Source organism: Homo sapiens, chromosome 1 (genome assembly GCF_000001405.40).
Source record: "Homo sapiens chromosome 1, GRCh38.p14 Primary Assembly".
Taxonomy (NCBI): domain Eukaryota; kingdom Metazoa; phylum Chordata; class Mammalia; order Primates; family Hominidae; genus Homo; species Homo sapiens.
This window is the reverse complement of record NC_000001.11, coordinates 53,911,313-53,925,955: the sequence shown is the minus strand read 5'-3', so window position 1 is coordinate 53,925,955 and position 14,643 is coordinate 53,911,313. Positions and strand designations below refer to the sequence as shown.

Sequence of the window (14,643 nt, the reverse complement as noted above, 5' to 3'; positions counted from 1 at the left end):
TAATTTTTGTATTTTTGGTAGAGACAGAGTTTTCACCATGTTGGCCAGGCTGGTCTCAAACTCCTGACCTCAAATCGTCCACCCACCTCAGCTTCCCATAGTGCTGGTATTATAGGAGTGAGCCACCACACCTGGCCTAAAATACTTTAGTGAAAAAAAAAATTGATAAATCCACTATGATGAAATGTTAGTAATTATAAAATCTAGCTTATGGGTATATGTGGGAGTTTTTTTATGTTCTCTCCTAAGTATGTTTGATATTTTTCTTTTTTCTTTTCTTTTTTTTTTTTTGAGACTGAGTCTCACTCTATTGCTCAGGCTGGAGTGCAGTGGCGTGATCTCGGCTCACTGCAAGCTCCACCTCCTGGGTTCACGACATTCTCCTGCTTCAGCCTCCCGAGTAACTGGGACTACAGGTGCCCGCCACCATGCCCAGCTAATTTTTTGTATTTTTTTTTTAGTAGAGATGGGGTTTCACCGTGTTAGCCAGGATGGTCTCAATCTCCTGACCTTGTGATCTGCCCGCCTCAGCCTCCCAAAATGCTGGGATTACAGGTGTGAGCCACCATGCCCAGCCGATATTTTTCAATTTTTCATAACTAAAAAAACTAAGCAAATGAAAAAGTTTATTATTAATTTCTGGTGATAGAGTTGTACAAGAAAGAAAATATCATTATAATGTATTATTTCAGGAGTAAATAACCTTTAGATAGACAGAGTAATGTAACCATCAAGTAGGATTTCAAATTTGAGAGGAGGTAAAGAGGGAGAAGTTGAAGGAGGAAGAAGAGGGGATTTCGGTTTTAAAAAGCTAAAATTTTACCTACCATACTATATAAAGTCAGTAAAAAATTTATCAAAAAGGAATAAAAGCATATTATAATTTCAGGAAAAATAGCTTGAAGAGTTGAGAATGTTTACTTCTAGGAAGCAGGACTAGAGGAGAAAGAAGGGGTAAAGCAGATTACTGATTTTCATTATTTCAGAAAAGGGTTAGGAAACAGAAACACAGAGACTTCTCTTTTAATACTACGGGGCTTTTACATTGTGTACATTATTTAATGTGAAGTTAATTTTGAATACTGTCATTAGCTATCTTTTTTGTTGTTGTTGTTTTTTGAGATGGAGTCTTGCCCTGTCACCCAGGCTGGAGTGCAGTGGCGCGATCTCGGCTCACTGCAAGCTCCGCCTCCTGGGTTCACGCCATTCTCCTACCTCAGCCTCCCGAGTAGCTGGGACTACTGACGCCTGCCACCACACCCGGCTAATTTTTTTGTATTTTTAGTAGAGACAGGGTTTCACCATGTTAGCCAGGATGGTCTTGATCTCCTGAACTCGTGATCCGCCCACCTCGGCCTCCCAAAGTGCTGGGATTACAGGCGTGAGCCACTGTGCCCGGCTGTCATTAGCTACCATTATAGCAATTAAATCTTTCATGTTTCCAGAAGAATTGTTTGATATGATTAACTCATGATGAAATAAATTAATCTGCTCTAAAATTACATAAGGAAACATTTTTAAAATTTGGATACCAGAAAAGATTACTTCATGGGCCACACAATTATGCATCATAGTGAAAGTTTCACTGAGAAACTCAGCTCTAGTTGTTTCCCGTGGCTATGGCAAAATGGCTCCTTTCTGTTAGTAGCTGGATCCTCAAATGTTCACTTTTTTTTCTTGAAAGGGGGATTTTTTTTAAATAAATGTTTTAAAAAGAAATTTTCACATTTTATCAGTTCCTTATATCCTTTTACTATTAATATAATTGACCTTTGCATTTCCTTTTGCTTATACTCACTAGGATATTTTATAGCTCATAGTTTATCTTTTTTGCCTTGTGTATCATATACCTCTATTTTTAAATTAAATTTCAACATGCAAACGATGATTCCTTCAAACCTGGTCTCATAATTTACCAGATATCATATTTTGCTGAACATAAATTTCAATAGCTATTCTCATGTATTTTGACCCTTAACTCATTTCTTCTGTTACATTTATGTTTTAGATTTGGTACACACAGAGGGGCAGCTTCAAAATGAAGAAATTGTGGTAAGTGAATATACTTTATAGAATTAAAAATTAACCTGCACAATGTATTTAGACTTTAACCTATCTCCATAGTCATAGTTAATAAATTTCCTCATGATATTATAGGTTTGTACCTAAATCAACCGGTAGAGAAAGTTATTCTCAATAATAATATAAGCTAAATGTACATTCATAAATTAGGTTCTTACCTTTCATAGAGAGTGACGGCAAGATAAAACAATTCATTTATTTTTTGTTTTATTTTTCTCATTCATTTACTTTGAAGTATTTATTTGGTTTGCTTTCTTTCATTTGATTCTGTAGGCATTTTAGAATAGGAATGAAAAAAGGGTCGCGATGCCAAAATTGAATGTTAATTTAAGCATGAAAGGACAAGTGAGATTCATATAAGGGGAACTAGAGCATAGGATCAGCAACAAATAAGCCAAAGAGAGATGAGGTGGAAAGACAACCAGTATTTTTCGACAACATTCCATTGGGCTTTGCTTGTCAAGTGAAATGAATGCCCGTTGATGAGGAAGCTGCTGCCTCATCAGGAGTTCCGCTATTCCTGGTAGTTGGTCAGGCCCTGGTTTTAGACAAACACAAAACAACTGAATATCTATTAGGTGGTCATGCTTTGTTTAATTAAGGTTTCCCTAAATGAGGGTTAAAATAGTACCTTATCCATTAAGTTTACTTCTTCACAACTTGCCAGAAGCTGCTATTAAATCAGTGTTTCAAAAAATTCTGTAGGAAGTTTTTGAATCCCATTAGTTCCTTTCTCTCCCACCAAAATTCACCCAAGTACTGGGGAGGCCAGTGAGGTCCTGAAAAATGATTAATGTTACTGAATTTTATCTTCCTGTTTTTTTCTGTCTTTACCTAGTGGGTTATGATTAGTAAGCCCCTGCTACCTTTCGTATATTGTTTCAGGACTCCACTGTGGAGGGTTACAGCATTATAGAAAATTTGGAAAATAGCAAGGGGGAATGGGAGGCTGGAAATCACCCAGAATTTTATTACCCTGTCACAAAAACTTTTACTGTATTTATTTTCTTCTAGTTGTTGACCATATGCTGTACAGTTAGAATAATAATGTGTGAACAATTTTGTGTCATCTTTTTTTTTAACTTAGTATTATATCACAGGCTTCGTAAGTACAATTTTAAAATAACATTTGCCAGTTGGCATACATTTAAACTAATTTTCTTTTTCTTCCCTCTGTCATTACACAGTTTGTCCCCTCTGTAATACACAGGGGACATCTATGCATATTCCTGCTACTGGTACCTTCACCTTTTTTCTTACTTTCTAAGATTAAATTTCAAGGAATAGAATTACTGGGTGCAAGGTTGTAAACATACTTATAGCTTTTAAAATATATTGGCTAATTGCTTTCCAGAGAAATTATATAAATATAAAAATGTAGTCATGCTTCAGGGTAGCGTATTCTGAGGCAACATTAACCAAAGGAAACTTCTTTATTATGAAAAATACTTTAGAAAGACACTTTTTTTTTTTTTTTTTGAGACGGAATTTTGCTCTTGTTGCCCAGGCTGGAGTGCAGTGGTGCGATCTCTGCTCACTGCAATCTCTGCCTCCCGGGTTCAAGCGATTCTCCTGCCTCAGCCTCTCAAGTAGCTGGGATTACAGGTGCGTGCCACCACGCCCAGCTAATTTCGTATTTTTAGTAGAGACAGGGTTTCTCCATGTTGGTTAGGCTGTTCTCAAACTCCCAACCTCAGGTGATCTGTCGGCCTCAGCCTCCCAAAGTGCTGGGATTACAGGTGTGAGCCACTGAGCCCAGCTGACACTTTTAAAAAATTAGAAACTGGGCATGGTAGCTCATGCCTGTAATCCCAGCACTTTGGGAGACTAGCTTTGAGGCTAGTTCAAGACCAGCCTGGGCAACACGGTGAGACCCTGTCCCTACAAAAAATGAGAGTTGCAGTTTTTAGCTCCAGTTGCTATTTTTCATCAAATCAAGGCTGGTATTTAGCTGATATGTACCACAACTATTATATGTAGCTGGCCTTATGTGTTGTTATATATTTAGAATATTACTCTTGCATCAAGCTGTTTCTTTTGCTAACTGCTTGTTAACAGTTAACTAGCACTGCTAAAAGCATTTATATTGATTTTTTTCCCATACAGGCACATGATGGCTCCGCTACTTACTTGAGATTCATTATTGTATCAGCCTTTGATCATTTTGCATCTGTGCATAGCGTTTCTGCAGAAGGAACAGTAGTCTCAAATCTTTCCTCATAATGATAACAAAATGCTCTTGCATGATTTTTTAACAATATATTTAAACAGGAAGTTGTCACTGATATACTTTATTAAAAGGATTTTTATCAATTTGTTTCAGTTTTTATTTACATTCTTTTCAATATTTGGGGTAAAGGAATTCTGTTTTTATCAATCAGCAGTACTGGCCACCATGGGGGAAATTAGAAAGGTTTGGCTTCAGTATATAGCTTAATCAAGGAAGTGACTGCACATGAAAATTTAATGGGTAATACATTGCATCCCCACAGCATCCACTCTGGTGCTCTTCAGATCGTAGTGCATTAATTTTTTAATTGATTGATTGATGCAAAGGACTAAGTGAGCAATATAGACAGTAAACAATGTAAGAAGTCAGAAAAGAGAAAGTACTTATGGAAGGGTTTCACTGAGGTTATGGAACCTGAGGTGGGCCCTGTAAAACGAGTGATTTTACTTTTTAATTAAAAAAAATATTTTTTTGCAGTAGGGTCTAGCTGTCACCCAGGCTATAGTGCAGTGGCTCGATCTTGGCTCACTGCAGCCTCCATCCCCTGGACTCAAGCCATCCTCCCACCTCAGCTTCCCAAGTAGCTGGGACTACAGGTGCATAACGCCATGCCTGGCTAGTTTTTGTATTTTTTGTAGAGAAGGGGTTTCACCGTGTTGCCCAGGATTGTCTCAAACTCCTGAGCTCAAGCGATCTGCCCACCTTGGCCTCCCAAAGTGCTAGGATTACAGGCATGAGCCACCGCACCCGGCCTTTACTTTTATTTGTTCTGGCTTGAAAACCTCAGAGAAGGGTTAGAAACACATAATCTTACTTTTTGTTGTTGTTTTTGAGATAAAGTCTTGCCCTGTCACCCAGGCTGGAGTAAAGGCTGGTCTCAAACTCCTGGGCTCAAGCAATCTGCCCACCTCAGCCTCCCGAAGCATTGGGTTTGCAGGCGTGAGCCACCACACCCGGCCCTCTTTCTCTTATTTAAGAATACTATTTCTTAAGTCCATGAAAAGATCTAGAAGCAGTGACATCCAAGTATCAGTGAGCACATCAAATACCCAGATTGTGATCTCTAAATACCTTTCCCATTAATTGGAACCAAGACTCTTTGGAGGAATGGCCAATTCCAAAAGTGTGACAAGAAATAGACAAGATTAGCCTGGGACATTTTGTTGTGCCAGAAAGTAGACTAATGGATAATGTCAAGAGGATACAGAAGCTAACATGAAGGTACTCTTATTAGAAAAAAAAAAAAAAAAGGGCAATTTGAGCAGGAAAAAAAATTTTACAGTTGACTACAACCATACTGAATATATTTAAAAGTGAATCCATATTGATAGAAGAGAAAAAATAAAAGACCAAAACAAAACCCTCATTGGACTCCATGGGATGTAACTAGGGCAGAATTACTCATTTGAATATTTGTATTTAAAAGGAAAGAATTGGGCATCTATCATGTACAGACATAACCCTGGTAGATGAGAGAAAGTGCTTTGCAGAAGAATTCCTGCTCATTGATGTGGAAGATATGATAGAATTAGAGAATCATCATTAGTCCAGGCATGGTGGCCCACACCTATAATCCCAGCACTTTGGGAGGCCAAGGTGGGAGGATGGCTTAAGCTCAGAAGTTCGAGACCAGCCTGAGCAACATAGCTAGACCCCATATCTACAAAAAAAGTTAAAAATAACAAAACCAGGCAGAGTGGTACGTGCCTGTAGTCAGTCTCAGCTGCTTGGGAGGCTGAGGTGGTAGGTTTGCTTGAGCCCAGAAGATCGTGGCTTCAGTGAGTCATGATTGTGCCACTGCACTCCAGCCTGAGTGACAGAGCAAAACCCTGTCTCAAAAAAAAAAAGGAAAAAAGTTATTGATTTGCATGAAATTAAACATTGATATAGGCAACAATCAGTGGATGAGCATTAATTGAAAGATTGGTGGGGAACTTTACAATGCAGGGATCTGAATCTATTGATTTATTAAAAATGGATTAACCAGTGTATCAGTTAGCTTTTGCTCTGTTACAAACCACTTCAAAGCATAGTGGCTTAATGCAACAATTTCATTTGCTCACAATTCTGGGGATATGCTGGCAGTTTTTTTCTGGCTTGTGCTTGCTTTGCTGTATCTGTGGTCAGCTGGCAACTCCTATGGTCTAGATAGTGTAGGATGACTTCACTCACATATTTTAAGGTTTGCAGGTTAGGGATCTAGGTGCCTCAGCAAGGACTGTTCATCTCTGCTCCAAGTTGTTTCTTGTCCTCCAGGGGGCTAACCCAGGCTTTTTCAGATGATGGTCTCAGCCTTCTGAAAAGTAGCAAAGAGGGAAATCCCCAGTGTGCAAAGTTTTCTTTTTCTTCTGCTATCTCTAAATACAGTGCAAATGGTCTTTGAGTCTCTGTTTGCCATCAGATTTGCTGTTGTCTGCTTGCCAAATCATGTCATGTGTCCAAGCTCAGAGTGAAAACAAGAGGTACCTGCCCAAGGGCATGAATACAAGGAAATCTGAAAAAAAGGGCCAAGCACGGTGGCCCATGACTGTAATCCCAGCACTTAGGGAGGCCGAGGTGGGCAAATCACCTCAGGTCAGGGGTTCAAGACCAGCCTGGCCAACACGGTGAAACCCTGTTTTCTACTAAAAATACAAAATTAGCCAGGTGTGGTGGCATGCGCCTGTAGTCCCAGCTACTCAGGAGGCTGAGGCAGGAGAATTACTTGAACCTGAGAAGCAGAGGTTGCAGTGAGCCGAGATCACGCCATTGCACTCCAGCCTGGACAACAAGAGTGAAACTACATCTCAAAAAAAAGAAAAAATGGGCTGGGGTGAGAGGGAGCCATTAATGCTACAATCTACTACAGTCAAACACAGTATGCTTCCTGATGTGATTTTATGTGAAGCACACAGACCAGCCTATGAAGTACTCTTGCCAAAATTACTGAACCTGAATTTAATCAAACTCTAGAGATAACCTCCATTTTCAGGAAACTCAAGAGATAGAGGAACAAGTAAAGCGACACTGCAAGGAATCAAATACACTAGTAGCCAGTAATACAGCTTACTGAAATGTCCAGATTTGTGCTTTTCCTGGACGTGGCAAGATAATACTTCTGGCATTTGCTTAAGTAGTGCCATGTGACCAGTTCTGGCCAATGAGATGAAGAATAATTGACTTCGAGGCTGAGGCATTTGATTGCCTATGTGAGACCCTTCGGAGTTCTTTTCCTCCTGTGCCGTAATTGACCAACAATGTTCTACACAGTAACTACTTTTATCAGTCTGGGTCTGGAAGTGATACTGATGTTTAACAGGTAGCAGGGCTCCTCAAATCTTTCCTAGTAATTATAACAAAATGCTCTTGCATGATTTTTTAACAATATATTTATTTAAACAGGAAGTTGTCACTGATATACTTTAAAGTATTTGTATCAATTTGTTTAAGTTTTTATTTACATTCTTTTCAGTATTTTGGGTAAAGGAATTCTGTTTTTATCAGTCAGCTGTAGCTCAATCTGAGATGGGTATGTAGGAGGAGTAAGAAATTAAGCTTCATTGTTTTAAGCCAATGAGATTTTGGAATTGCTCGTTACCACAGTATAACCTAGCCTATCCTAACTGATAGACAAGTCTAGAATGTGGCTCATCCTACAGGGCAAGCGACCTGGTTTCTTCAAAAAGTCAGTGGCATAAAAAATGTTAATTAAGGAAAGGGGCCTGCTCTAAATTCAAGGAGACCTAAGAGCTCCTATGACCACATGCCATGTGTGGATCGTGATGGATGCTGATTTGAATAGACAAACTGAAAAATGACTTTTTTTTTTTCTTTTTTGAGACGGAGTTTCTCTCTTGTTGCCCAGGCTGGAGTGCAGTGGTACAATCTCAGCTCACTGCAACCTGTGCCTCCTGGGTTCAAGTAATTATCCTGCCTCAGCCTCCTGAGTAGCTGGGATTACAGGCACCTGCCACCACGCCTGGCCAATTTTTGTATTTTTAGTAGAGTTGGGGGTCTCACCATGGTGGCCAGGTTAGTCTCAAACTCCTGACCTCAGGTGATCTGCCTGCCTCAGCCTCCCAAAGTGCTGGGATTACAGGTGTTAGCCACTGCGCCTGACCAAAAAAGGACATTTTAAGATAATTGAGGAAATTTTCTTGTAGACTGGGTGTTATTCCTTTTACTATGTGTGATACTGGCTTTAAGCTTATGTAATAAAATGCATGAGCTTAAATGCATATAGAACTATGGGTGACTGAAATGCATATAAAGCATATGAGATGCATATAGAACTATGGATGACTGAAATGGCCTGATAATCTGGAATTTGCTTACTATTTAAGCAGAGCCTTTATAAAGGAAAGAGGGTTAGTTGAAGAAGCAAATGTGGCAATAAATTATTGAATCTGGGTGATAGATATATGGAGGTTCATTGTAGGAGTATTTCTACTTATATATGCTTTAATTTTATTTATTTTTTTTTTTTGAGATGGAGTCTTGCCAAGTTTTTCTTTTTTTTTGAGATGTAGTTTTGCTCTTATCCCCCAGGCCGGAGTGGGATGGCGCTATCTTGGCTCACTGCAACCTCCGTCTCCCGGGTTCAAGCGATTCTCCTGCCTCAGCCTCCCTAGGAGCTGGGATTACAGGCACCTGCCACCACACCCAGCTAATTTTTTTGCATTTTTAGTAAAGATGGGGTTTTGCCATGTTGGCCAGGCTGGTCTCGAACTCCAGACCTCAGGTGATCTGCCCACCTCAGCCTCCCAAAGTGCTGGGATTACAGGTGTGAGCCACTGCGCCCGGCCCGGAAAAGCAAATTTTAAATGGAGAAGAGTAGGAAAGGCATTTCAAAAGCCACCTTGGTATACCAGATAAGAGATGTGAAGGTGAGTAGTCATTCATAATGATGAATTTGGGGAAAGATGAATAAAAAAGTCTGAGTAGAGCAAAAAGTGAAACTAAAACTGAACATTACGGCTAGATCACAGGCTTTCAGGTATTTTCTTGTAACACTGGAACCATTTAAGGTTTTTGAGAAGGAATGTGAATTATAGCAATTGTGTTCATGTTCAATAAAATGAAATGCTGAGCATTTTCTTTTTGCCAAGTTTCTAAATTGAAATGGCAATAACTCTTTGTGTAAGAAACACTGTGTTGAGGCTTACAGATTGCTAAAAGGGATCTCCAGAGGTTATCTGATTGATTTCTTTGGCACAGGCCTGGTGAGTTATCTTTAAGTCTTTTTTCTCTGTCTTCTGTGGATGCAGGAAACAATTGATGACTGTAGAACACCCATTTCATATACGGTATTTGAAAACAGCATGCTTTAAACTTCATTTTTCTAGGCTTTAAAAAACTCATTCTCATTATCACCTTAAACCACTCCACATTTCAGGCAATAGATATGATATGTAGCTTTACCTTTTTGCTTTGTTTTGTATTTCACTGCTGAACTACCCCAATCACCTCTTTTTTTTTTTTTTTTTGAGAGCAGGTCTGTTGCCCAGGCTGGAGCGCAGTGGCACAAACACAGCTCACAGCAGCCTTGACCTCCCAGGCTCAGGTGACCCTCCCACCTCAGCCTCCTGGGTAGCTGGGACTACAGACACATGCCACCACACCTGGCTAATTTTTTGTATTTTTATAGAAATGTGGTTTCACCATGTTGCCCAGGCTAGTCTCGAGCTCCCAGGCTCACAGGATCCTCCTACCTTGGCCTCCCAAAGTGTTGGGAATATAGGTGTGAGCCACTGCTCTCAGCCCCTCACCTTTTTAAACTCTCATTTGTCCTCAACTGGCATCCTCTTTCCCTTTCATGTGGCCTTTTCTCCACCTGCCCATGGACTCCTGACTGCCACTGTGCTGTGTGTACTATGTATTGAGGCCTTTGTGTTTGCTGTTTCCTCTGCCTGTAGTGCTCTTGCCACTGGTGTCAGTATAGCTGGCTTCCTCATTGACATCAGGTCCTTACACAAAATTTCCTTCTCAATAAGCCTTTCTCTGGCCTCCCTATTAAAATTAGAGTGTTCCTGCACCTTACCCTCGCAAGACAAACACATTAAATCTTTCTTCCCTGTTTTATTTTTCTTCTTTTCTTAGGTTAGGGACCTGACGCAGTCACCCTGTGTTCTGTATTTAGGAGTTCTTATACCTGACTCTTCATTTCTATCATTAAAATTCCACTTAAATTTTTTTCTTTTAATGATATTAATGATGGCCCAAGTATCCTTTGAAAGATGAGGGCAGTGCCACCTGCATTCAGGTGTGATCCTCTTGAGTAGGAGATTTAATCCAATTGAATTACTCGGGGCTCTCTCACCCTTATAGGGACAGCCCTGCTTATAACTGTCTAACGTATTTTTTCTGTTTACCATGTATATCATGTTTATCATCTCTCTCACTAGAATGTAAGCTCCCCAAGGCAGGGGGTTTTTTTGCTTCTGCTCATGACTGTATCCTCAGGGCTTAGAATAGTGCCTGGCACATATATTCTCAAGAAATATCTGTTGACTGAATAAGTGAACATCGTTCATTTATTTGCACGCCTATATCTCTTTATACTGTAGAATCTTTGAGGAGCTTTGAATAAAGCTAGTCAACAATATATGAATTTTTGGATCACTTACTGTGGACCAATGCCTATCACAGCGCCTTGCATAAAGTTTAAACCAGTAAATACTTATTTAAAGCGATGGATAAAAAAGTAAAAATTTAATGACCTTTTTACCATGTACCAAGTCTAGGCAAAGAAATATTACAGAAATGAAAATTGTGTTTATCACTCATTTATACAGATTTTTTTTTATAGCATATTGCATTTGTTGAGCCCTCTCTCAGGAATGCCTCTCTGCAGGGGTCAGGCTGGGGGAGGCATCCTTTGTGGGCTTCACCTTCTAGGTGATGTTCCAGCAACCCTTTGTAACTTGACCCTGATAGCCTTCTGGGAGATAGTGTGTGGCAGTGTACATCAAAGTTTTAAACATGCATGTAGTCTTTGACACAGAAATTCCATTTCTAGAAATATAGCCTAATAATCAGATAAAGGAATATACAAAGATAAGTGGACAAAGTTTATAGCAATGATGTTTATAAGACAGAAAAACTGGAAACTACTACGCAGCCATATATTAGAAAGTATGATATATACAAACATCATTTTATAATGGGATATGAATTTTATATATATACATATATATGTTTATAAATATAAAAATGGATACTTCTGGTTAAAGATGATGGGGTAAAGCGATTTTTACTCCATCCCCTTTCTCAAAACATTCACAACAAAAAGAATTATAAAAAGAAAAACATTTTATCTTCAAGGAAGCAGCTATAATCCCTAACATCAAAATGGGACGCCCACTCACTAAGTACTGTGAAATGAGGATTTTGGTGAAGGAAGAAGCTGAGAACTGGCATATGTTCTCTCAAAGCTAGAGACTTTATTAAACGTGTCATGGTTATGAAAGGCTTATCCAACAGTCCCTTGATTAGATTGAAGAGGGCTGCAGGTGGCTCAGGAGGATGGAGAATGTCTCCAGAGAGCCTCGAGGTTAATAACAGAATGGCAGGGAAGATGGAGCTGGAGAGAATCAGGCAGGATACACCAGAGGAGACTGCTGGAGGTAAAGCATGATGAAGGAAGTTGTCTTAGCTCCAGCTGCTGTAACAAAATACCATAAACTGGGTAGCTGAAACAACAGACATTTATTTTCTCACCACTCTGGAGGCTGGAAGTCTGAGATCAGGGTGCCGGCATAGTTTCTGGTGAACCCTTTCTTCCTGCGTTGTAGGTAGCTGCCACCTTGCTGTGTGCTCACACGAGCTCTTTGTGTGTGTGTGCAGAGAGTGCACTCTGGTGTCTCTTAAGGGACACTATTCCTGTCTTATCAAGGCCACACCCTTATGACTTCATGTGATTTTCATTACCTCTATATAGGCCCTGTCTCCAAATAAAAGGAGGTTAAATCTTCAACATATGCATTTTGGGGGTTAGAGGGGCACAATTCAATCCATAGCAGAAGGTGAAAAAGCATCCAAAGTAAAGGGAGTGTAACTGAAGGGGATTTCCCTGAGCCCCATCTCAAAGGAAGGAATTTAGTTAATAATAGGCTACTCAAGACAGCGAATGTCAATGAAAGTTGCAGATTGCGCCACCTGACTCCTCATCCCACACTATGTTTCAGCAGATAACAAGCCCCACTAATGAAGACTCATAATCAGAAAAGACCCAGAAGGGGACTGCTCTGGGTCAGGTTCTCTAGAAGCAGAGCCTCCAACAAGGATTCTTTGAAGAGTGATTTATTGAGGGAGCGCTCTCAGGAGAAACCTCTAAGGAAGTGAGAGAAGCAGGATCAGGCAGAGGGAAAAATTAAACATGGCTTCTGCTGAAGTCTAGCCTCAGTCTGATCCCATAGGGAGCTCTGAAGCATGACTGGCACCGGAGAAGTAGACTGCCCCACCTTGCAGCAAGGGAAAAGGCTTTGGAATTTCAAATCCATCAGTCACTGGCTGTGGGCCACACTCAGGTGAAGGACATAATTTCACAGGTATTTCTGGGTAAGATAGCTCCTGTCATGAGGGCAAATTCTCAGGAAAGAGTGCATCTGTGAGCCATTAGCAGCCAACACTCACAGCAGCTGGCTCATGAGTACAATGGCTTGGTAAAAGGCATCTGGGCAGAGCACCAACAACACCTACTATAGCAGCGGTTCTCAAAGTGTGGTTCCTGGGACAGCAGGATCAGCCTCACCTGAGAACTTGTTAGTAATGCAAATTCCCTAGCTCAACCTCAGATCTGTCGAATCGTAAACTCTGGAGATGAGAACCAAGAATCTGTGTTGCAGCAAGCCCTCCAGGTGATTTTGTTGCATGCCCAAGTTTGAGAACCATTGAACTACACTGGCCTATGGCTAGCAACTGTAAAACAAAAGGATTGGAATTGAACCCAAACCTCTTGCAGTCTCCTGCACATAGCCCTTTTCCCACCTTTGCCCTTGTAGTTCTCCTCACTTGAAATGCCCTTCTCCCTTCCCATCTTCTCCAGGCTCCCATCCCAAATTATGGAAGTACTGGGCATCTTTGAAGACCAGCTCAAATGCCACCAGCTCCAAAAAGCATTGTTGGATTCACCCAGCTCAGAGGATTGCTGTCTCCTCTGTGCCCTCTGAGCACTTAGTCTTCACTCTAACATATACTCCACCTTGAGTTATGGTCATTGGAGTGTATGTCTGGTCCCCTGTGAGATTAAGCTGCTGGAGGACAACAGCTCTTCCTCGTCCATCTTTGCATAACTCTGCACCCAGAAAAGAATCAATGCTCAATGTTTGATGCATTAAGTTGAAGAGAATCTAATTGGAAAGCCGGGGGTCTATTTTTGTCATTCTGAAAAGCTCCTCAGTTCCAGCTACTATTATTTAGTGAAAATGGGGAGATTTCTGTGCATTTGTAGACACGAATTGGAAGACCATCAGAGAAGTGATTCAGAAGAGGCTTGCCTTACATCCTGTCTCCTTTTGTGCAACTTAGTACTTAGGAGGAACAGTGAGTGCTCATCTGTGCTTCAGTCCCATCATTGTCACAGCTTCTCATTTTCAGTATAGCCTCACAAACTCATGCCTATGTTGGTCATGAGTGGCTTTGGTAGGATGGGGAATTTTTATTCAGCATCCATATTGTCTTGTCCTCCTTCCACCTCCAACCCCCCAAAAAAGGGCCCGAGGAAGCAGTTGTGGGACAATAATTATGATAATCGTAATAATAGCCAACACTTCATGACACTTTCTCCAAGTCAGGCACAGTTCTGAGTGCTCTACTCATGAATCTATGGACTAGGCACTATTGATACCCTGTTTTATAGGTCAAGATACCAAGGCAGCTTGATCAAAGTCACCCAGCTGGCAGGAACAGAGCTAGGACTCTGGCCTTGAAGTTAGAGATCCGGTTTGAATCTCGGCTTGTTACTTACTAGTTCTGAGAAGTTATGCAAGTTACTTAACTCTCTGAGCCTTGATTTCCTCATCTGTAAAATGGGGATAATCATCTCCTCTTTGAGATATATAGAGATTAAATGAGATAACATATCTGAAAGTGACTGTGCCTGGTAGATGATTAATAATAACTTTTTTTACGGAGTCTCGCTCTGTCACCCAGGCTGGAATTAAGGGGCACCATCTTGGCTCACTGCAACCTCTGCCTCCTGAGTTCAAGTGATTCTCCTGCCTCAGCCTCTTGCAATAACTATTTTTAAAATAATAAAGTGACAACATTAATAATATTAACTTTGTAGCAACTAAAGTATAGCTAAAGAGAATATGTTCTCATGCTAGCAAAAGGTCTCCTGATCCATTCTT

At 40.5% G+C, this 14,643-nt stretch overlaps 1 protein-coding gene and 1 long non-coding RNA gene across 22 annotated transcripts in view; one reads left to right on the top strand and one right to left on the bottom strand.

Annotated features, from left to right (window-relative positions):
- Positions 1-14,380, top strand: part of IFT25 (intraflagellar transport 25) — a 34,730-nt gene extending 20,350 nt beyond the window's left edge. For 17 of the 21 annotated variants that reach the window (NR_167989.1, NR_167990.1, NR_167992.1 and 14 more), the window contains 2 exons: positions 2,009-2,052; positions 4,189-4,395. Coding sequence is in view for 12 of the 21 variants with exons in the window: in NM_001382251.1 (NP_001369180.1) it covers positions 2,009-2,052; positions 4,189-4,305 (161 nt within the window). In the remaining 9 variants the exon portion in view is untranslated. Of the gene's footprint in view, positions 1-2,008; positions 2,053-4,188; positions 4,396-8,839; positions 9,384-9,558; positions 10,896-12,477 lie in introns of those variants that run through there. The other 4 variants (XM_047422521.1, XM_047422520.1, XM_047422519.1 and 1 more) reach the window with 4 other exon arrangements.
- On the bottom strand, positions 4,373-7,529 carry LOC124904181 (uncharacterized). Its single transcript, XR_007066096.1, has 2 exons — positions 7,362-7,529; positions 4,373-6,608 (listed from the first exon to the last, which is right to left on the bottom strand). It is a non-coding gene; the product is annotated as an uncharacterized LOC124904181 (long non-coding RNA).